The sequence below is a fragment of the Homo sapiens genome, chromosome 2 (assembly GCF_000001405.40).
Source record: "Homo sapiens chromosome 2, GRCh38.p14 Primary Assembly".
Lineage (NCBI taxonomy): Eukaryota > Metazoa > Chordata > Mammalia > Primates > Hominidae > Homo > Homo sapiens.
The window spans coordinates 111195498-111217483 of record NC_000002.12 but is presented as its reverse complement, the minus strand read 5'-3'; the positions used below and the strand labels follow the sequence as shown (position 1 = coordinate 111217483).

The following is a 21986-nucleotide window of genomic DNA, read 5'->3' as shown; positions in this document are numbered from 1 at the left end:
CTCCTGGGTGCAGCTGCAGCTGCAGACCCAGGCCTCCTGCTCCATGGAGCAGGGAGGAGTCCTGCCTTCCTGAGTAAGGCTGCAGCTGCTCAAGCTGTGGCTGCCGATCAGAGCCTCCCTGTGCTCTTGCAGGTGCCAGGAGCAGGGAGGATCTCTGCCCTCCCTGGTGCAGGTGCAACCACCAGATCCACAAGTGCAGACCTGGGCCTCTGCTCCACCAAGCCGGCAGGAGCCAAGGACAAGCAGGAACCCCACCCCTTCTGAGTTGGCAGGGTGGGAGCTCCCTGGGTGCAGCTGCAGCCACCTTCCCAGGTACAAGACCTAGGTGTCTCTGCAACCTACACCCTTAGGGGCCAGGGAAGGCCCCCCGACCCCGGTACCCATAAGCCCAGGGGTGTCTTCTCCAGTTGCCTGGCTTCTCACTGCTCCGGGCACAGGCTCCCATATCAGAGCAGGGTTGGAGCCAAGGCCGGGTGCTATCACAGTTTGGCATGGTCTGCACACACTTGGATCAGTGCTGGCAAGCCAGTGCCCTGCTGCCCCAGCCCCCTCCAGAATTTGGGTACCAATGAGAGTAGGAGGGGAAGCAGAGGGGAGCTCTGAGGATTGCTCAGTGCTGGCCTGCAGGTGCCTCTTGGTGCCAGCAGCCAGGGGGACAGGGACAGCAGAAGGCAGGCAGGCTCCTGGGTGGAAGTGGGTGGGTTGCCAGTAAGACCCCACCTTCAGGCCAAGGAGGGCCTGAAGGCTGGGAGCCAGGCTGCCAGACCAGCAGAATGGAGTGGGGACTTGTGGTGCCTTTTCTGGACTGCCCATGGCCCTCCATGAACTGATCAACAGGGACTTCTTCCCTCTAAGGTCCAAAAAAGCCCCAGGCTCAGCCAGAGCAGGGCAGAGGACAGATGACAGAGGACAGATGGCCTGCTGCAGTGAGGAACTACTCTCTCTTCTGAGAGCTTCAGAGACCTGCAGAGACATAGGGACTACCAGCTGCAGAGAGAAGTAACTTTCTCGAGGGCCTCCTTTCTGGTGAGAGCAGCAGATGTCAGGATGATGACCAATAGCAGAGAGGAGCTACCCTCTCCAGGGCCTCCTCTCTGCTTGAGAGCTGAGCACTCAATGGGAAGATCTGCTTACAGAGAAGATGATCTGCCTACAGAGAGGAGCTATGCACTAAGGGTTTCCTCTGAGCTGTTCTAACACTTAGTAAAGCTTTCTTTGTCTTGTTCACCCTTCACTTGTTTGCATACCTCATTCTTCTAGAGGCAAGACAGGAACTAAGGCAAAGATGCCACCAGCCACAGAGGTTTCTGGCCAGAAAATCAATACCCCAAAGATCCTGTAACAGTGCAAGAAGGCAGGCAGGCTCCTGGGTGGAAGTGGGTGGGTTGCCAGTAAGACCCCACCTTCAGGCCAAGGAGGGCCTGAAGGCTGGGAGCCAGGCTGCCAGACCAGCAGAATGGAGTGGGGACTTGTGGTGCCTTTTCTGGACTGCCCATGGCCCTCCATGAACTGATCAACAGGGACTTCTTCCCTCTAAGGTCCAAAAAAGCCCCAGGCTCAGCCAGAGCAGGGCAGAGGACAGATGACGGAGGACAGATGGCCTGCTGCAGTGAGGAACTACTCTCTCTTCTGAGAGCTTCAGAGACCTGCAGAGACATAGGGACTACCAGCTGCAGAGAGAAGTAACTTTCTCGAGGGCCTCCTTTCTGGTGAGAGCAGCAGATGTCAGGATGATGACCAATAGCAGAGAGGAGCTACCCTCTCCAGGGCCTCCTCTCTGCTTGAGAGCTGAGCACTCAATGGGAAGATCTGCTTACAGAGAAGATGATCTGCCTACAGAGAGGAGCTATGCACTAAGGGTTTCCTCTGAGCTGTTCTAACACTTAGTAAAGCTTTCTTTGTCTTGTTCACCCTTCACTTGTTTGCATACCTCATTCTTCTAGAGGCAAGACAGGAACTAAGGCAAAGATGCCACCAGCCACAGAGGTTTCTGGCCAGAAAATCAATACCCCAAAGATCCTGTAACAGTGCAAGAAGGAGAAAAGTGTTCTATAGTTTTATATCTCAGTCTTTTAGTGAGCCTGTGTCTCTAAACTGTGAACTTCAAACAGAGCTTCTCGACCCCCCCAACACTCCCCTTAGGCAGGACAAGATGGCTAGAATGAACTGAAGTTGAGTATTTCTCTTCCCCTATGTAGAAGGCTAAGGCATGCTGGAGCATGCTATTTCCTTTCTTCCAGGTTGGTTAGGCTCTGATAAAATCCCAATAGTTTAGGCTCTGATAAAATAGTTTCTCCTGAGGCCAGGCCTTTTTGACTAGAAGAGAATGATCTGACTTACTTCAAATAGTTCCTCCTCCCTCTCCTCACCAGAAGAACAAGATCTTTTTTTTTTTTTTCTGATATTCACTGTGAGAACCTAGTTGAACTCCTGAAACCAGAACTCACAAAAGTGGGAGGCCCTCCTTTGAATGGGTCCCCCTGGACTGTTTAACTCTCATACTTATTTACTGTGAATGCCCAGCAATTCATCAATTACAGTTCAGGTTTTTCTACCCCATACTGGTTCCCACAAAGGTTTCTGCTCAAGGGTTTCTGCTGCAGTAATTTGTGATTCTAAGTATTTTCTTGTCAGTCTTTCCAATTTAAGGGGCAGTAAACCTCACTTCTCTGATGGATCTAAGAGTTGTTAATTAATCAGTTTGTTCAGCCTTTTATTTGTTGTTAGGATGTAGTGACAACTTCCAAGCTCCTTACGTACTGGATTGCAAACCAGAAGTCAAACTATTCCTTAGAAATGAAGGGGAAGTAAAGTCATTTTCAGATGACAGGATACTAAAAGAATATGTCACCAGAAGACTTGCCCTTAAGGAATGACTAAAGCAAGTGCTCAGAACAGAAAGGAAATAATAACAAAAGACTTCAGGACCTCAGGAAGAAAGAAAGAAAAGTGGATATGACCATAAAATGTAATCAATTATTTAAACAAAAGTAATAACAATGTAGCGTGATGTTAACATGTATGTAAGTAAAATGAATGACAACAATAATATAAAGGTCAGAAGGGGAGAAATGGAAGTATCCTGTTGTAAGTTTCTTATGCTATACGCGAACTGGTATAATATCATTTGAAGGTAGGCTATAATAAGTTAAAGATGTGTTCTGTTAATCCTAAGAAATATGAAAATAACACAATAACAAAGAGTTACAGCAAATAAGACAACAAAAGAGATAAAGTTGGATCATAAAAATAATCAATTTGAAAAAAGTCAGGGAAAAACAGAAAAAAGAGCAAAAACATATGGGATAAATTGAGAAAAACAGTGAGATGACAGGAATTAAACCTAACTATATGAATAATTACATTAAATGTAAATGGCCTAAACAACACCAGTAAAAGGCAATTTGTCAAATTAGATTTTTTAAAATGCTAATCCAACTATGTGCTTTTTACCAACACAAAAAGGCACTTTAAATGTAAAGACATAACTATGTTAAAGAAAAAGGATGGGAAAAAGATACAATGTAAAGACTAACAAAGAATCTAGAGTGGCTATATTAATATAAAAGTGGATTTCAAGCAAAGAATATTATCAAGCATAAAGAAGAACATTTAAAAATGTTAAAGGGATCAACTTGTCAAGAGACCATAATAATCCTAAATGTTTATGCACCTAATAACAGAGCTCCAAAGTACATAAAACAGAAATCAATAAAACTATAAGGAGAAATTAACAAATACAGATATAAATTAGATATTTTAATACCTCTCTCTCAATAATTGATAGAATGAGTAAAGAAAAAGATCACCAAGGATATAGATGACTTGAACAACACTACTAATAAAATATACCTACTTGGCATTTATAGAACACGTCATGCAGAAATAGCAGAATACACATTGTTTACAAGGGCACGTGAAACATTTTTCAAGATATATTCTATATTCTGAGCCATAAACAATGCATAATACATTTAAAAGGATTCAAGTCAAACAAAGTATGTTTTCGGAGCAATCTGTAATTAAAATAGAATTCTTTAGCAGAAATCTATCTGGAAAATTCCCAAAGGTTTGGAAACAAAGTAATGTGTTTGTCAATAACCAGGGGTAAAATAAGAAATCAAAAGGAAAATTAGAAAATATCTTGAAAAATAATCAAATGAGAACACAATATATCAACAATAGTGGAATGCCACTTCAGCAATATGTAGAAGGAAATATACAGCACTGGATTTCTACTTTAGAAAAAAGAAAACATCTCAAGCCAATGACCTCATCTTCCACTTTAAAAATTAGAAAAGAAGAGCAAATTAAGCCAAAGTAAGCATTAAAAGGGAAATAATAAAGATCAGAATGAAAAATCAATAAAATAGCAGACAGAAAAAAATAGAAAAAATCAATAAAACCAAAAGCTAGTTCTTTGAATAGATCAATAAAATTTAAAAACCTCTAGGTGTATTGATTTAAAAAATTACTTAAGACACAAATTCATCAATATTAGGATTTATAAAGGTGGGATCACTCAGATTCTACAGATATTAAAAGGATAATAAGGAAGTATTGTAAACTTTTATGCCTATAAATTTTAAAACTTAGATAAAATGGATAAATTCCTGGCAAGGCACAATCTACCAGAGCCCACTCAAAAAGAAAGAAAGAACCCAGACAATCCTCTATTTACGGAATAAATTGAATGTTTAGTTTAAAATGTATGCATGAAGAAAATTCCCGGTTGACATGGCTTCACTAGTGAACTCTACCAAACATTAAGAGAAGGAAAAATAACAATCCTTACAAACGTTTTCTGAAAATTGAAGAGATGAGAATAATTCCAAATTATTTTATGAGCCTATTATTGCTCTGATTTTAAAGTGAAACAAAGAAAACTATAGATGAATAACTAACTCTCATGAACATAAATGCAACATTTCTAAAGAAATTTAGCAAATCTAATCCAACAATATGTAAAAAGGATAAAACATGGTGAACAAGAAGGGTTTATCCCGGGAATACATTGATTGGGTTTTGATGTTCAAAACCCAATCAATGTAAATCACTATTAACTACAAAATAAAAGCAATATGATCATCTAAATAGATGTAGAAAAAAAATCTGAAAAAAACCCAACACCCATTCCTGATTAAAAACTATTAGAAAACTAGGAATAGAAAAGCATTTTCTCAACCAATTGAACAATTGAAGGGTAGCTATGAAAAACCTACAGCTAATATCATATTTCATGATAAAAGATGGAGTTTTCTTACTCTAAATTCAAGAATCAGGGAAAAGTGTCTGCTCTCACCACTCTATTTAACAGTGCTGGAAATATTAGCCAGCAAAACAGATAAAGAAAAATAAATAAATGGCATAGACTGGAAAGATTCATAGTTGGCACAATTATGTATATATAAAATCCTCAGGAATGTACACTTTACATACTAGAATTTAAAAGTAAGTTTAGCAACTGTGTTAGTTCGTTTTCATGCTGCTGATAAAGACATACCTGAGACTGGACAATTTACAAAAGAAAGGTTTATTGGACCTATAGTTCCACATGTCTGGGGAGGCCTCACAATCATGGCGGCAGGCAAGGAGGGGCAAGTCACATCTTATGTGGATGGCAACAGGCAAAGAGAGAGCTTGTGCAGGGAAACTCCTGTTTTTAAAACCACCAGATCTCATGACACCCATTCACTGTCAGGAGAACAGCATGGGAAAGACCCACCCCCATGATTCAATTGTCTCCCACAAGGCCCCTCCCATACCACATGGGAATTATGGGAGCTACAAGATGAGATTTGGGTGGGGACACAGAGCCAAACCACATCAGCAACATGTCAGAACACAGAAAAAATGTAAAATATCACTGTATTTCTATGTACTAGTAGTGAACTGTCAGATGTTAAAATTCAATTGCTTAGAATGGCATCAAAAATATGAAATACTGGCCAGGCGTTATGGCTCTTGCCTGTACTCCCATTGCTTTGGAAGGCTGAGGCGGGTGGATACCTTTGAGGCCAGGAGTTCAAGACCATCCTGAGCAACAGGGCAAAACCTTGTCTCTACTAAAAATACAAAAAATTAGCTGGGCATGGTGGCCTGTACCTATAATCCCAGCTACTTGGGAGGCTGAGACACAACAATCACTTGAACCTGGGATGCAGAGGTTGCAGGGAGCTGAGATTGAACCACTGTACTCCAGCCTGGGGAACAAACTGAGACTCTGTCTCAAAAAAAAAGAAAGAAATACTTATGGGTAAATCTGACAAAATAAGTGTAAGACCTGTACACTAAAAACTACAAAACATTGCTGAAATAAATTAAAGAAGACCTAAATAATCGGAGAGATATACTTTGTTTAAAGGTCAGAAGTCTCAGTATTGCTAAAATGAGAACTCTTCCCAATGCAGTGCTAATCAAATTTCTAGCAGGCTTTTTGTAGAAATTGAAAAGCAGATTTGAAATTCATATGGAAGTGCGAACAAAACCAAAAGAGCCAATATAACTTTAAAAAAGAGAAAAGATGAAGTTCTAAAACTATCTGCTTTCAAGATTTATTATAAAGCTACAAGTGATCAAAATATTCTAGTACTAGCAGCAAGATAGAGGAAAAGATCAATGAACCAAATAGAAAGTCCAGAAATAGACACACTCAAAAATATGGACAACTGATTTTGGACAATATTGCAAAAGCAATTCAATGAAGAAAGGATAGCCTTTTCAACAAACAGTACTGGAAGAGTTAGATTCCTGTATGCAGAAACAGACAAAAACAATGAACTTGGATGCAAACGTGCATTATATAAAAAGAAGTGATTCAAATGGATTGCAGATCTCAATGTAAAATCTAAAACTATAAACCTTTAGAAGAAAACATAAAAGAAAATCTTCATGACCTTGGGTTAGGCAGAGTTTTTAGGTATGACACCAAACACACAGTCCATAAAAAATAAATTGATAAATTAGACTTTATCAAAATTTAAAATTTTCATTCTTTGAAAGATACTCTGAAGAGATTGAAAAAATAAGCCACAGATTGGGAGAAAATGTTTGCCAAGAATACACATCTGATAATGCACTTATATCCAGAATATATGAAGAATTCTTAAAACTCAATAATAAGAAAATAGCCCCATTAAAAATAAAATAGGCAAAGGATTTCAACAGACATTTCCCCAAAGAAGATATATGGATGGTAATAAGCACATGAGAAGATGTCAGCATCATTAGGGAAGTTCAAATTAAAACCACCATGTGATACCACTACATGTATTTTAGAATTGCTAAAATTAAGAAGACTGACCATATGGGGTGAGGATATGGAGGAAATGAAATTCTCATACAATGCTATTGGTAATGTAAAATCAAACTACCACTTTGGAAAACAGATTAAAGTTTCGTGAAAAGTTAAACATGCACCTACCACATGTCCCAGCCTCTCAGTTCTACCAGAAAAGAAAGCAGATATCCATACAGAGATTTGTACACCAATGTTCATGGTACATTTATTGGTAAATAGCCCCAAACTGGAGACAACTCAAAAGTTCATCAACAGATGAATGGATAAACAAATTGTGATATATCCATACAATGGACTATTACTCAGTAAAAAAGAAAAAAAAGAAAATAATAGTAATGGATAATCACAACATGCATAAATCTCAAAAATAATTATATTAAGTAAAACAAACCAGTCAAAAAAGACCATATACTCTTTATTCCATTTTAATAAAACTATAGAAAATGAAAATCTTTGGTGATATAAAACAAACTAGTAGTGAGGAAGAGAGGCTTGGGAGGGAAATTATAAATTACATGAAGCAACTTTTGGGAGTGATAGAAATATTTACTATATTGATTGTTATGATGGTTTCATGGATATATACATATGCAAAAACATATCTACACTTCAAATATGTGGAATTTTTGTAGGTTATTTATACAGCAATAAGCCTGCTCAAAAAAGTAAATCGAGCAATGGAGGGTACCAAGATTTTACTTGCATATGACTGTTCTCTATCTAGCCTGCAAACAGGTGCACACAAAATCTGCAACTTTAACTGGAGCTTGCCAGGCAACACCTCTGCAACATTATGCAAATCACTGTGAGAAAGAGACAATAATTATGTCAAAAACCACCAAAATATGTTTGTTTCCACACACTTTTTTTAAAATTCCCAGATCTGGGCTGTCTACAGTATGTGCCTGCCAGTTAACCTAACTTGGGGCTTTTCACTTTGGTTTAAAGAATCTGAAATTGAGCTCTGCTCAAGTTAAGTGCATGTGGTGATTCATGTGCATGGAAAGTACCTTGGGCTGACCACAAACTAGAGTTCCCTACAACTACATCAATGTCAAAACTAACCACTGTCTCCTAGCTTGTTTGTTTAAAAAAAAAAATCCCATGGTCTTCAATTTGGTCATTTAAAAATAATCTACAAGGTATACTGTTTTTCTGTTCTTGTTATTTCCTAACTTTTAAGGTTTCTATTTTTCCACCCTGTAGATCTTGTTCTCACTAGAGAATAATTTCTACATTATGCCCAGGTTCTTCTGAGCTATGAAGGGGCCCAGATTTAAGGGCTATTTTTGACACCCTAAATGTGCTGAGACAAGTCATTAAGGTGGTCCTGCCAGGACACAGCCATCTAAAGCAGCAATCTGCTTCTTGCCAGAAAATCTCGTGCCTCTGCAGAGCCTTTTCCAGAATGAACCACACCATGCTGAGGTAGGGTAGAAGGGGCAGTACACCAATAGGCCTGGGTATTCTAGAACAATAGGCCTAGAACTTCTCATCAGCTCCTGTTTCTTTTCATCTCTAGGAAAGGAGAAAGAGACTACCTACTGCATTTCTGTCACTCGCTGAAAAGGACACTCTGTCAGAAAATCTTCTAGCAAACTTCAAAGGGCAAAATCACCCCTTGTTACTGATAAAGCCCAGAGAGCTTCAGCAGCTAACATTCCCTGGACAGGGCACAGCAAGGATTTGAACCTAGGTCAGTCTGGCCAGAACACCCACAAGCTTTCCTTAACTCAGTGTGCTATCTCCCCACGACTAGGTCACTACTGCTTTATAATCACCTTTGTAGCCACCAGTGGATTTTGCTCATCAGTATTTTTCAGGCAATTGATACTTTAGATATTCAGCTGCAAGACGTATGCAGTTTTCATTGACATCTTTTGGAGAAACTGACAAACCTGGACTTGACTTAATGCCTTTGGAACCTTCCAAGATGTTATATAACTCTAGATAGAAGGCTGGGCCTCCATGATGTCAGGAATGTTGCATTCTTATTTCCCCATAGATAAACCCATTTGTCCACAAAGTCAAGGAGTCAGGCAGAGGCCCTTGCCATGGGGCTTTTTAGGATAAAGCAACAAGCCTGGACTTTGCTCTACAACAGGGTTTTGCATAGGGAGTGGTATGACCAGATCCCTCAAGAAAGAAAGCTTAGAGACCAGGCCAGAGTCCACTGCAGTAGCCCAGTCAAGAGAGGATGGTGACTTGGACTTGTAGTAGAGCCAGTTAGAATGAAAGAAATTGACACATTCAGAAATGGTTTTAGAGATAGAGTCAAACTGGACCTGATAAAGAACTAGAGAAGCGGAGTGAGGATAAAGAGAAGAGCCATGACTGACTCGGAAGATTTTGTCTTGAAAAACTTGAGAACTCAAGACAGAGTGAAATAAAATCACATGTGGGAAAAATCTCCTGCTTTGTTTTGGACTACTTTGAAGTGAAATGCCTGTTAAGCCTAAGTGGGGTAGGTCATGGCGTACATGACTGTGGGCTCAGGATGGATACAGGCATTCAGGAGTTGTGAGCAAATAGAACTTAAAGCCATGAGAGAAGAAGGGATCACCAAGAGAGACAGTGTGGCATAGAGAAGAAAAGGGGTGGAAGACGATCCCTGGGCAGAAAAGTCCTTAGAGCAGAGGCAACAGGCATGACCAAGAAGACTAAGAAAGAACATTCAGTACAGCAGGAGGAGAGCAAAAAATGTGTGGTATTCTAGAAGCAAAGAGAATAAAGGGCTTCAGGAAGGAGCAGTCAAGTGTGTCAAATAAGATAAAGACAGACAAGTCCCCTGGATTGGGTAGGAATAAAATAACAACAGACTGCCATACAAATGGTTCTATCTACACCATCTAAAAGAATATAGTTTATTCTCCATACATTTAAGAAACACCTGCCATATGCCAGGTATCCTTTCAAGCACTGAAATGCAGATTCATAAAACATGGTCTCTGCTCTCAAGGAGCTCACAGTGGTAAGGAGGAAACAGGCAATAGCGAGTGTTCTCATTGCATTCGTGACCCCATTGATCTTGCAACAGCCCCATGCATCAGTTATTGCCATTATACCATTTTACCGATAAGGAAACTGTGGCAGGGAGGGGTCAAGCACCTTGGGTATTTGACAGCAAAACCAAGGCTTGGTGGTATCATAAAACTTCCAAGTAGTAATTCACAAAGGTGACTGGGAAATGGAAGTGACCAGAAATCTTTGCACTATGAGGACAAGTTCATGACCCTGATACATTCTTGTCCAGGTAGTATAGCTCCAGACCAAATGTCTGCGGCCACCCACCCAAAAACTTGTTGGATAAAAATGACTACACCTATAGTCAAATGATTTTTGACAAAGGTGCCAAACAGTTAGATAGGAAAAAGAAAGTTATTTTCAATAAATGTTGCTGGAGCAACCAGATATCCATATGGAAAAAAAATCTTGACCACCTACCTCACACCAAACACTAATATTAACTTGAGATGGATCATAAACCTAAGTCTGAAAACTAATAGTAAAGTTCTTGAGAAGAGAACATGGGAGAATGTCTTCATGATGTTCAGGTAGGCAAAGATATTTTAAGACACAAAAAAGCAATAAGCATAAAATTTGTAAAGAGGTGACTGGGGCTTTATCAAAATTAAAATTTATGTGTATTAAAAGACATCATGAATAAAGGGAAAAGGGCAGCCACAGACTGGGAGAAACTCTTTACTATACATATACCTAACTGAGGCTCATATCCAGATTATATGAAGAACTCCTTCATACTGATACCTAGGGTCTTGATTGCATGCCCCGAAATCAGTTGATTCTTCCCTTTTGAAATGCATTCCCACAAGGATCCAGCCTTTGGGAAGCCATGCAAGTAGAGGCAGAAGTTGTTTCAGCTTCGGAAAGGGCCACTCTGCTGAGGAGTGTCCTTGACCGGCAGAGAGAAGATGTTCCTGCAGCCATGCTGATTCCAGGGGGATATAGAATTTGGGGCCTGGGAATGTTTAAAAATGAAAGCCAGTTAATAGTTTTATTTTTCTTTTAACATGACAGACAGGAGAACAACCAGCAGGACTCCAGGCTTACCCTGACATTTTTGTCAAGTATATGCGGGTTCTCCAGAGAGCCAGAATCAAAAGATGTGTGTATATACAGCCATGTGTTGCATAACAACAAAGATACATTCTGTGAAATGTGTCCTTAGGCAATTTCATCGTTGTGCAAACATCATAGGGTGTATTTGCACACACCTAGATGGCATAGCCTACCACACACCTGGACTATGTGGTATAGCTTGTCACTCCTAGGCTTTGTACAGCATGCTACTATACTGAATACTGTAGGCAATTATAACACAATGGTAGGTATATATGTCTATGTAGACATATCTAACATAGAAAAGGTACAGTAACAATACAGTATAAAAAGTGAAAATTGCACACTTATATAGGGCACTTCCAATCAATGGAGCTTGTAGAACTGGAAGTTGCTCTGGGCGAGTCCGTGAGCAACTAAGACATTACACTGTGCGCTTAGGCTACACTAAATTTCTAAAAATATTTTTTAAAATATATAAGTTAGCCTTAGCTTACTGTAACTTTTTTACTTCATAAACTTTAAACTTCTTTTTAACATTTTGACTCTTTTGTAATAACACTTAGCTTAAAACAAAATCACACTGTAAAGCTCTACGAAAATATTGTCTTTCTCTATATCCCTATTCTATAAGCTTTTTTCTATTTAGAAATTTTTTATTTTTAAATTTTAAACCTTTTTGTTGAAAACTAAGACATAAACACACATTAGCATAGGCCTACACAGGGTCAGGATCATCAGTATCAGTATCTTCCGCCTCCACATCTCGTCCCACTGGAGGGTCTTCAGGGATGATAACATGCACGGAGCTGTCATCTCCTATGATAGCAACGCCTTTTTCTGGAACACCGCCTGAAGGACCTGACTGAGGATCTTCTTGAGGAGGTGTCACTCTTTTCAGAAATATGTCCATAGCATCTTGCTTAGTTGTTTCTTTTTTTCATCACAGATTTGTTTGTAAACAGATAATGCACCACGAACATTCCTCTCTATTAATAAAAACCTTTCAGTGTCGGGGGTCACTTTCAAACTTTTTAAAGAAAAAGTTGAGGTCTGCAAAAGCTTCTGCCAAATGCTTCACTGTGAATTTTCTCAGGGGTTCTTCTTTTCTTCTCCTGCAGTTTCTTTTCTCTTGCCTCTCTTCAGCTATGGATTCTGGTTCCAGTTCCTACAACTCATTAGTCAGTTTCTCAGGAACCGTTGTTTGCTGTCTCAACCACAGCCTTGTTGAGTAATATGCTGTCCTGTGATATTGTGATGGCTATGAAATCACTAGGTGATAGGAATTTTATTATATTATAATAATATATTATATATTATAATTATAATATATAATTTATATATAGAATATATAATATATTATGCTATTATAATCTCATGAGACCACCATCAGATATGTGATCCTTTATTGACCAAAACATTGTTATGCAGTGTGTGACTGTATATATAGGTATATGAAGAAATTTATATTAAGGAATCGGTTCACATGATTATGGAGGCTGACAAGTCCAAAATCTGCAGGGTGGGCTGGCAACCTGGAGACCCAGGAAGAGTCAATGTTGCAGTTCAAGTCTGAAGGCCATAGGCTGCAGAATCCCCTCTTGCTTAATCTTCTGTTTTATTCAGTCTTTCAACTGATTGGATGAGGCCCATCCTCATTATGAGGGTGATCTGCTTTACTCAAAGCCCATCCATTTCAATGTAAAAATCTCATCCAAAAACACCTACAGAAACATCTGGAATAATGTTTGGCCACATGTCTAGACACTGTAGCCCAGCCAAAGTGACGCTTAAAATGAACCATCACACCAATTGTGCTATTGACCTGTACCCACTGAGGTGAGACATGATCAGAGACTGGGCAATTTTCACAGTTTGGACACAGCTATGAGCAACATAGCAGTGATTCAGCAAGCTCACAATAGCTTTACCAGGCAGCAAATTGAAGCAGATTACAGCTACTAGGAAAGACGCTTCTCATTTTGTGAGATGTGCTCCCGTGGCTGAAAGATTGTGTGAATTAGGTAGATTGAGGGAAGGGCCAATTGATTTAGAGTACTGCAATCAAGACAACTGGATAGCCTAGTGATGCCAGCTCAGAAAAAGAATAGTAAAGTATAGTGAAAACAAAAATTCAATTTAACCTGGTTCTAGCAGAACACCAGCAAATAAGGAAAACAAACAAACAAACAAACAAACAAACAAAAAACAGCTGCAGAGAAAACTCAAGAAGCCCCATAGAGAGGGTACTTTGGGATCTGATGCATGCTTGCTGATGGTGCCCATCCATCCTGTCTCTGCTGGACGCCTAACAGTGTTCCTCACCTGCACTGTAGGTGTCCAATGCATGCTAAGTAAAAGTGATATTAAGAGCTGCGTGCCAAATTTCATTTCACATTATATCTCAGAATTTCTTTTAGTTTTTCTGGAAATGTAACTACTATAATGGACCTTACAAATGCACAAATGGGGCCGGGTGCTGTGGCTCATGCCTGTAATCCCAGCATTTTGGGAGGCCGAGGTGGGTGGATCACTTGAAGTCAGAAGTTTGAGACCAGCCTGGCCAACATGAAGAAACTGTGTCTCTACTAAAACTACAAAAATTAGCCGGACTTGGTGGTAGGCACCTGTAATCCCAGCTACTCAGGATGCTGAAGCAGGAGAATCACTTGAACCTGGGAGGCAGAGGCTGAGGTGAGCTGAGATCACACCAATGCACTCCAGCCCAGGCAACAGAGAGACTCTGTCTCAAAAAAAAAAAAAAAAAAAGCACAAATGGTATTCTGTATCTGAAAATTGTTTGGATTAACTTTTGATTCTTGCCTGGTTAAAGAATTACAATTCTTACCTCAGATCATGCTTAAACTATCTTATTTCTTCTCATCACAATAAAATAAATTAGTGTCATTTTTATACTTGATTGCCTCAAGGATATTTTAACACAATTTTGTTTCTTATCTTTTGTACCACTCATTTGAAAACTTATGGTCTTAATGCAAATAATCTGAAAGTAATAAAAGTATAACTCCTAGTAATTTCCATATTGCTGCCTGTAGAAAAGTTATAAACATCCCAATTTATTCTGGCAAGAAAAAAATTTTTAGTAAGCAAAAGCCTTGACTGACCAAGTGCTTCACAAAAGAGGATATCTAAATGGCCAATAAGCACATGAAAATGTTCTCAAACCATTATTTATCAAGGAAATGCAAATTAAAACCACAACAAGATACCATAACACACCCACTTAAGTGTCTAAAGAGACTGACCATACCAAATGTTGGCAAGTAGACAAAGCAATTGGAGCTCTCACTGCTGGTAGAAATGCAAAATGATACAGTAACATTGGACAAATGTTTGGGATTTTCTAGCAAAATTAAACATTCACCTCTCAGATCACCCAGGAATTCTACTCCTAGGTTTTTCTCAAGGAGAAGTTAAGTGCAAATATCCATCAAAATGCTCATAAATTTTATTTGTAATAGCTAAAAACAAGACACAACTCAAATACCTATTAAATGTTTATCTAGACACAATCCAAATGTAATACAGTCATGCTCTGCACAATCATGGTCCCATGAAATTATAATGGAAGGAAAAATTCCTATCACCCAAGTGCACACTGTTTATAAAGTCCACAGCGGTGTACAATAACATCCTAGGCTTTCACATTCACTCACCACTCACTCACTGACTCACCAGAGCAACTTCCAGTCCTGCAAGCTCCATTCATGGTAAGTGCCCTGTACAGGCGTGCCATTTTTATCTTTTATACCATATTTTTACCATACCTTTTTTAATTTTTAGGTATGTTTGGATACATGAATATTTACCATTGTGTTACAATTGCCAACAGTATTCAGTACAATAACATGCAGCAAACGTTTGTAGCCTAGGAGCAATAGGCCTTACAGCCTGGGTATGCAGTAGGCTGCAAAGTGTAGAATTGTGTAAGTACACTCTATGATGTTCACACAACACAAAATTACCTAATGACGCATTTCTCAGAATGTATCCTTGTGACTGTCACTGTCTAGACATACATACAATGAAAAACTACTCAGCAATGAAAAAGAATAAACTGCTGACACACAAACTTGGATGAATCTCAAAAACATTCTGGATGAAAGAAACTACTCAAAAAGAATGTTTACTGTATGATTCCATTTTTATGTTTAAGAACAGGTAAAATTAACCTGTGATGACAGACATCAGAGTCATGGTTACTCCTGAGGAGAGGGGTTTACTAGATGGGACAGGAGGGGACTCTCTCCTTCTCTAGGGTGGCAGAAATGCTCTGGATCCTGGAGTGGGTGATGGTTGCATGGGGTCATACATAAATAAAACTTGCTTTTTACATATAGATTTTATTCTATGTAATTTATATCTCAATTTTTAAACTGCAGAACAAAATAAAGATGGAGAGCAGGGAGCTGTGCTTTTTCCATTTTACTCCCAGGTGCCAGAAAGGAGCACTTCTGGAGGGGCTGAGGCTACAGGAGGTTAGAGAACTTCTGCAGGTCCAGAGACAGCTTAGAACCAAGCTCTGGCTGGTCTTCCCTCCAGCAGCTGGGAGGAGGGCCTCTCTCCACTTGACAGAGCAGCCCAGCCCCAACTTGGCAGCCTGCAAGTGAAAACAGCTTCTCTGTAGAAAGTACTAGAACATCCACCCCCTTTCACAGTGCGGCTGGCTTCCTCCATCAGTCTCTACAGGTGTCAGAAGGCATTGATAGCACCCTAACCACAGCCCCGGGGACTCTCCATGCCCAGTCATAATTCAACGGCACCAGGGTGACCCCTCAGTGGAGAGGCAGGCTTTCTTTGAGACTGTGAACATTGAACCAGGACCACTTGCCCCTGACGGTCTTTCCAGGCAGACTGGGAGACAGTGGCATTGGGACCATTCTTTCTTGGGCTACTCTGGGCCAGACATCTAATCAAATGCTCTCTTTCCCATCCACTGATTCCATAAGCCCCAGAGTGAGTCAGGTTTCTCACCCCAAGTGGAGGGGCCACTCACGCTAGGGGGCTATGTTCCTGCGTTCAGATCCCTCCTTTCTTCCTCTGTCCTCTCCCCCATCTCTTCAGCTGTACTTTCTCCTGTGCTCACTTTATTCTCTAGATTAATTTCTTGCCTCATCCTTACACTCTTGAGTTCAGAATAACTTCTGAACTTCTCTCTCCCAGGGTTCACACCAGTTGCCCAAAGAGGACTGTAATTGGGCCACTCCAGGACCAATCACTGTGGCAGGGGCACAGACTCTCTGATTGGCCAACCAGGTGATGGGATCACCCTTGGCTGACAGTCCCACTCCCTGCAGCCAGGGAAGAGCAGAGTCAAAAAGAAAGCAAAGCCACGCATGCAGAGAGGTTACCAGTGTCCATCCAGACGCCCACTTCACAGACAGGTAGCCAAGCGCCAGAGCCCGGCTATTGTAGCCCTAAGTGGTAAGACAGCTTTGAGACCAGCTGCCGGTCAGGGGTCAAGGCGCAGGAACCGGAAACCCCCAGAAGCCTGTCTGCTTCCCACTTTCACATAAGAGGATGAGCCCCGTCCTCTACAGCTTGTGGCACTCTCGCTCCACCGAGCCGGAAGCCATGGAGCAGACAGAGTCCCAGTCCTGACTCCTCCCACTTCCCACAACCCATACTGCTATCACTGGCAATCACAGTAGGAGGGTTTCTCTCTGTGCAAACAATGATACTGATCTGGCTCTTGGTAAAATCAGGGGCAGGTGTTCCCTTCTGGAGGGGGCTGCACAGGAAGGATTTCCCTGCTGTGAGGGAAACACGGGACTGGGAGAGGAGCCCTGACACACCACACACAGGCCTCTGCTTGTCTTCAGTCTCCGGAAAATAGAAGTTAGGGGGCAGGGAGGGGAGTGGGGAAGACGAGAGGTGTTCTCCCTGGGTTTGAGAAATTGGGCCTGGGAGGGGACCCCTTCAGACAGCACCCGGCTGCCCTGGGACTTATGGCAATAAGCAGGTAGCCGCCTTTTCTTTTATACCCTGCCCTCGGACATCAGCTGCCAGTTCCTGTCTCGCAGTGTGACAGAGTCTTTTCCTCCCATCCTGAGTCCTGCAGAAGCGCCCAAGCTTCTAAGGACATCCCCAACACGGTCCCTATTCCTGGTGAGTGACACACAGGGGAGGGTCCGTGCTACAGGGACCGTGGAAGGAAACAATTTGAAGGAAGCCTAATGAAAGCAGTGACTCCTGAGCTGGGATGTGAAAGATGAATAGGAGTCTTCCACGTAGTGGGGCCTTGGGGGCAGAGCATTCCAGACAGTGGGATTAGCAATGTCATCAGGTGTGGTCCTGGCAATTGCTGGCTCTTTGCTATTTATTGGGAGATAAAGGTGAGTCCTCCGGTGGAGAGAAGAAAGGAGACGAGGAAGGTGGCAGACCCGGCAGGGCCCCCGGGCCCTGCTACTCCCCACGTCTGAGTCCATCTCCATGACTCTGCCATTTCCCACCATCCAGATCACTGTTAGCCTAACACTGTTCTTCAGACCAATGGAGAAGTAAATCCATTTAATTCCACTACCAAAATGAAAAACCATGTTACTTGTCCTAAATAGAAGATGACCACAAAACCCAAAAAGTCACTATTAAAATAAACAGCATCAATTTTTATGCCACCTAAAGCCACCTGATGTGCCACACACCGTATTTTGAGAAACTGCCATAGGCAACAAGGAGCCAAGAAAGGATTTTCAGCAAGGGAATCATATGATCAGATTTGTCCTTTATAAAGACCAGTCCGAAGAGAAGGGATCAAGGGGCTGAAAGAGGGCCAGGCCAGAGGAGAAAGCAGTTCATCAGTTGTCTATTTTTACAAACCCTGTACACAGTTGCTCTTTTTTATTTAGTTGTCCTTGAAACTGAATTCCACATAAAACTAAATTGGGCATCCCCTTCTAGAAGCAGCTCAGTATCACTAGCAACCTGGAATGGTGGAAATGTCCATTTGCTACAAAGGACCATTTGGTGATGAGTGGCCGGCTTGAGTCCCACCTGGCCCTCACTTTCCTCACTTTGAGGGGTGAATTTAGAATCTGGGCTTTCTGATATCTCCGGGTGTAGAAGCAAGCAAAAACCCCTTCTCTCTTTTCAGGGCTGAACTCATCCAGAGGGAAGTGGAGATGGTGCTGGCTGTGGTTATCTTTCCTCCACTCGAGGGATTGAAGCTAGGCTGTCCCACGGCACCGGGCTCGTGGCTGGCCCTGGGTGTGTCGAGTTCATGTATTGTCTCCAGCAGTAGCCGAGGAGTGACAGCCTTGTGTGCAGGCCTGAAAGCCAGGGCAACTCCCAGGTTTCATTGCTGCGGTGGCTAATTTTTATGTCAGCTTGGTTAGGCCGTGCTACCCAGCTGTTTGGTCAAGCACCAGTCTCCATGTTTCTGTGAAGGCATTTTTTAGATGTCGTTAACATTGAAATCAACAGACTTTGACTAAAGCCAAGCAGATTACCTGTCATAACATGAGTGGGCCTCATTCCATCAGTTGAAGGCCTGAAAGGAAAAGACTGAGGTCCCCCAAGGAAGTCAGAATTCTCCTCCAGACTACAACATAGAAATCCTGCTCAAGTTTTCTAGATTTAGGATCCCAGACTGCAACATTAACTCCTACCAGATGTTCTAGCTTGTCACCCTGCTCTGCAGCTTTCAGGTTCTCTCTCTCTCTCTCTCCATCCTATTAGTTCTATTTCTCTGAAGAATCCTGATTCATACAATTGCTATAACCTGGGGCAAGCCACAGCTTTATTGTCGTTGTTTTTAATCTATGGCCATCATCCCCAAATGTAGTGGTTAAAAACAACAGTTGGCCGGGCGCAGTGGCTCACCCCTGTAATTCCAGCACTTTGGGAGGCCTAGGTGTGTGGATCAGGAGGTCAGGAGATGGAGACCATACTGGCTAACATGGTGAAACCCCATCCCTACTAAAAATACAAAAACAAAAACAAATTAGGTGGGCGTGGTGGTGGGCGCCTGTAGTCCCAGCTACTCAGGAAGCTGAGGCAGGAGAATGGCGTGAACCCGGAAGGCGGAGCTTGCAGTGAGCCGAGATCGTGCCACTGCACTCCAGCCTGGGCGACAGAGCGAGACTCCATCTCAAAAAAAAGAACAAAAACAAACAAAAAAAACCCAGTCATTTTATTATTTCTGTGGGTTGACTGCTTGGTAGGTTTCCATTTCCGTGTGACACTGGTGACATTAGCAGGGGCTACAGTCATTTGGAGTTCAACCGGGCTGGAGCCTCCAAGCAGTCTCCCCTGATGTGGCTGGCATTCGGTGCTACCTGCTGGCTGCGACCCTGACTCGTGCTGGGGCTGTCACCACGGAGCCTAGGTTCTCTTCCACATGCCTCTGTATGTGGCCCCGTCTTCTTTTAGCATGGAGACTGGGGCCCAGGGGAAGGAAGGTAGCAGAAGCTGCCAGTTAACACTTAAGGTCTTGGCTCAGAAGTCCCAGAGTATAATTCTGTAGGATTTTCTTGGGCAGAGCAGTCCCAGGGCCAGTCCAGACTCAGGCGAGAGGTGGGGGTGGGCATGGGGTAGATTCCACCTCTCAGTGGGTGGTGGCAAGTGCGTAGAGGATAGAATGAAGGGACGGCGACCATCTTTGGAAACTCTCCACCACACCAGATAGATTTCCCCTTTTGCCTTGAGAAATCCAGTGATACATAAACATCATTATGTTATTTACGTCAATTTGGGAATAAATGTGTTAATTTGCAATGTAGTCTCTGTCCACTTCCCAAGAGGATATGTAGTAGCTTTTAATGAAGGTATTACAGAAATAGTATTGTTTCTATCAAAATAAAAAATGATTAAAGGCTATGCAGAGATAGGAGAAAGACACAGTATATCTTTAAGCTTGATGAAAGTAGTTTCTGCCATTGTGTTTCCAGCTCACCAAGCTCCTGTATCTACTGGAAAATGGAAGTCCAGCCTTACCAACTTGTGAACCTTGTCTGAAGGGAGCCAGGGCCTGCCAATGGAACCACCTCCAGGAGCTGCAACTGCTGTTGTCATTAATACCATTGTGTCTATTTTTTGAGAGAGATAAACTTTTCATGGTGTTACATTTTGGAAAAAAAAAAAAAAGACTAGGTGAACAGTCAGGTAGGAAAGCAGCATAACAGTCCCTTAAATTCTGATCATGTAGGACATTCTTCTTTGCCCTGGGCCTGGGAAAATGCAGCATGTTCCAGAGCAAAAGTCCTAATGAGGGGAACTAAACCAGTGGGACCCAAACCAATGTCCTGGCTCACTGAGGACCCGTTAGAACCAAATCTCTGGGTGTGGACAGGCTCCCATACTTTTCAAAAATTCCCCTGATGACTAATGAACAACCAGAGGTAAGAACCAGTGGCCCAGAGGAATAACCAGCCCAGCTGTTGTACGAGCTCGCTAAGCTGGCTCAGGTCAATGTTGAATTCTCTGCTAGGCAGCTCCTCATAAGAACTGGCAGAGATGGTTCTTACACAACAACAGGTGACAACTCCAGACTCTGCCGGAAGTTCCAGGATCTGGGTTCCCGGACAATGCATGACACTCAGTCCAGCATTGCAGGTGGAAGAGCGACGGTGAAAAGACCAAAGTCAATTAAAATGTGTTAACCAAAACAGGAAACATGAGTGAGGTGATTGAGAGTGTGTTTAACTTAGATGTGTGATTTTATCAATACTTTCATTGTTCAAAAACTCTTATTTTTTAAAGATATTTTCAAAACAAATCCAAACTTTACTTTTCATTCCAAATTCGTGTTCCGTCTATACTTGCATTTGGGGAAAGATTGAAACAAAACACAAATACTTTGTAGCAATGTTGGAGTGTCATGTTCTTTGCAGAGGGACAGGAAAAAAAAAGGATTTTTTTTTCTTATCAAGAGATACTGTTTCCTCAAGGAGAAAGGGCATCAGTCCAAGGCACTGGTTTGCTCAAAAAGATTAGTAAAGAACAAGCATATTTTGTCTGTGGTGACAACATGATCTCCCCCCCCCCACTAGTAAACTCACAGCATCAGTACGCAGGCAGTGTGATGCATTTTCAAAGTTCCTCACTTTTCCAGATCCAACAGGACTCTTGTGCACATACTCGGTGTTTCCATGGCAAATCCACTGTGTATGAAAATTAGACCCTTCCAAAAAACAAATTTACTAGTCAGTAACCATCATCAGCACTTTTTTTCTGTACCATGAAATTTGGGAACAAAATTAAAGGGCTCTTGATTGAAATCCATCTCTCTTTTTGGATTCAGCTGTCAGGTATACTTTCCTTAATAAGTCTCTGTGAAGTGACCTGGTTGGATATGCTAGTTTTCCATTTTATAAATACCATGCACTCATGAAAACATTGTAGAAACATATTCAAGAACATGGAAAGATGATCACTGTAGAATTCTGAGCGGAAAAGAAGTATATTATGAAAAGTATGCAGTGCAATGATCCCATTTTGCATATCTAGCTAGCTAGCCATCTGTCTTAGTCCATTTGAGCTGCTATAACAAAATACCTCAGACTGGGGAATTTATAAACCATAGAAATGTATTGCTCACACTTCTGGAGCTTGAGAAGTCCAAGATCAGGGTGTCGGCAGATTCAGG

General features: G+C 41.7%; 1 long non-coding RNA gene across 7 annotated transcripts in view, besides 2 other annotated features; it reads left to right on the top strand.

Moving 5' to 3' along the window:
• MIR4435-2HG (MIR4435-2 host gene) overlaps window positions 1–21618 on the top strand; it is a 299296-nt gene extending 277678 nt beyond the window's left edge. For 3 of the 7 annotated variants that reach the window (NR_136165.1, NR_136161.1, NR_136166.1), the window contains one exon: window positions 8823–9711. This is a non-coding gene — a long non-coding RNA (MIR4435-2 host gene). Of the gene's footprint in view, window positions 1–8506; window positions 8729–8822; window positions 9712–20289 lie in introns of those variants that run through there. The other 4 variants (NR_136163.1, NR_136162.1, NR_136164.1 and 1 more) reach the window with 3 other exon arrangements.
• Window positions 19555–19674: an enhancer, noted in NCBI's record as "active region_16385". NCBI's record gives its function as "activates an Ori minimal core promoter by ATAC-STARR-seq in GM12878 lymphoblastoid cells {active_cell/tissue: GM12878}" and the evidence as "EXISTENCE:reporter gene assay evidence [ECO:0000049][PMID:35858748]".
• Window positions 20738–21032: a silencer, noted in NCBI's record as "tiled region #6991; K562 Repressive non-DNase unmatched - State 23:Low". NCBI's record gives its function as "represses a minimal TATA promoter and a strong SV40 promoter by Sharpr-MPRA in K562 cells {active_cell/tissue: K562}" and the evidence as "EXISTENCE:reporter gene assay evidence [ECO:0000049][PMID:27701403]".
• Window positions 21619–21986: the final 368 nt, after the last annotated feature.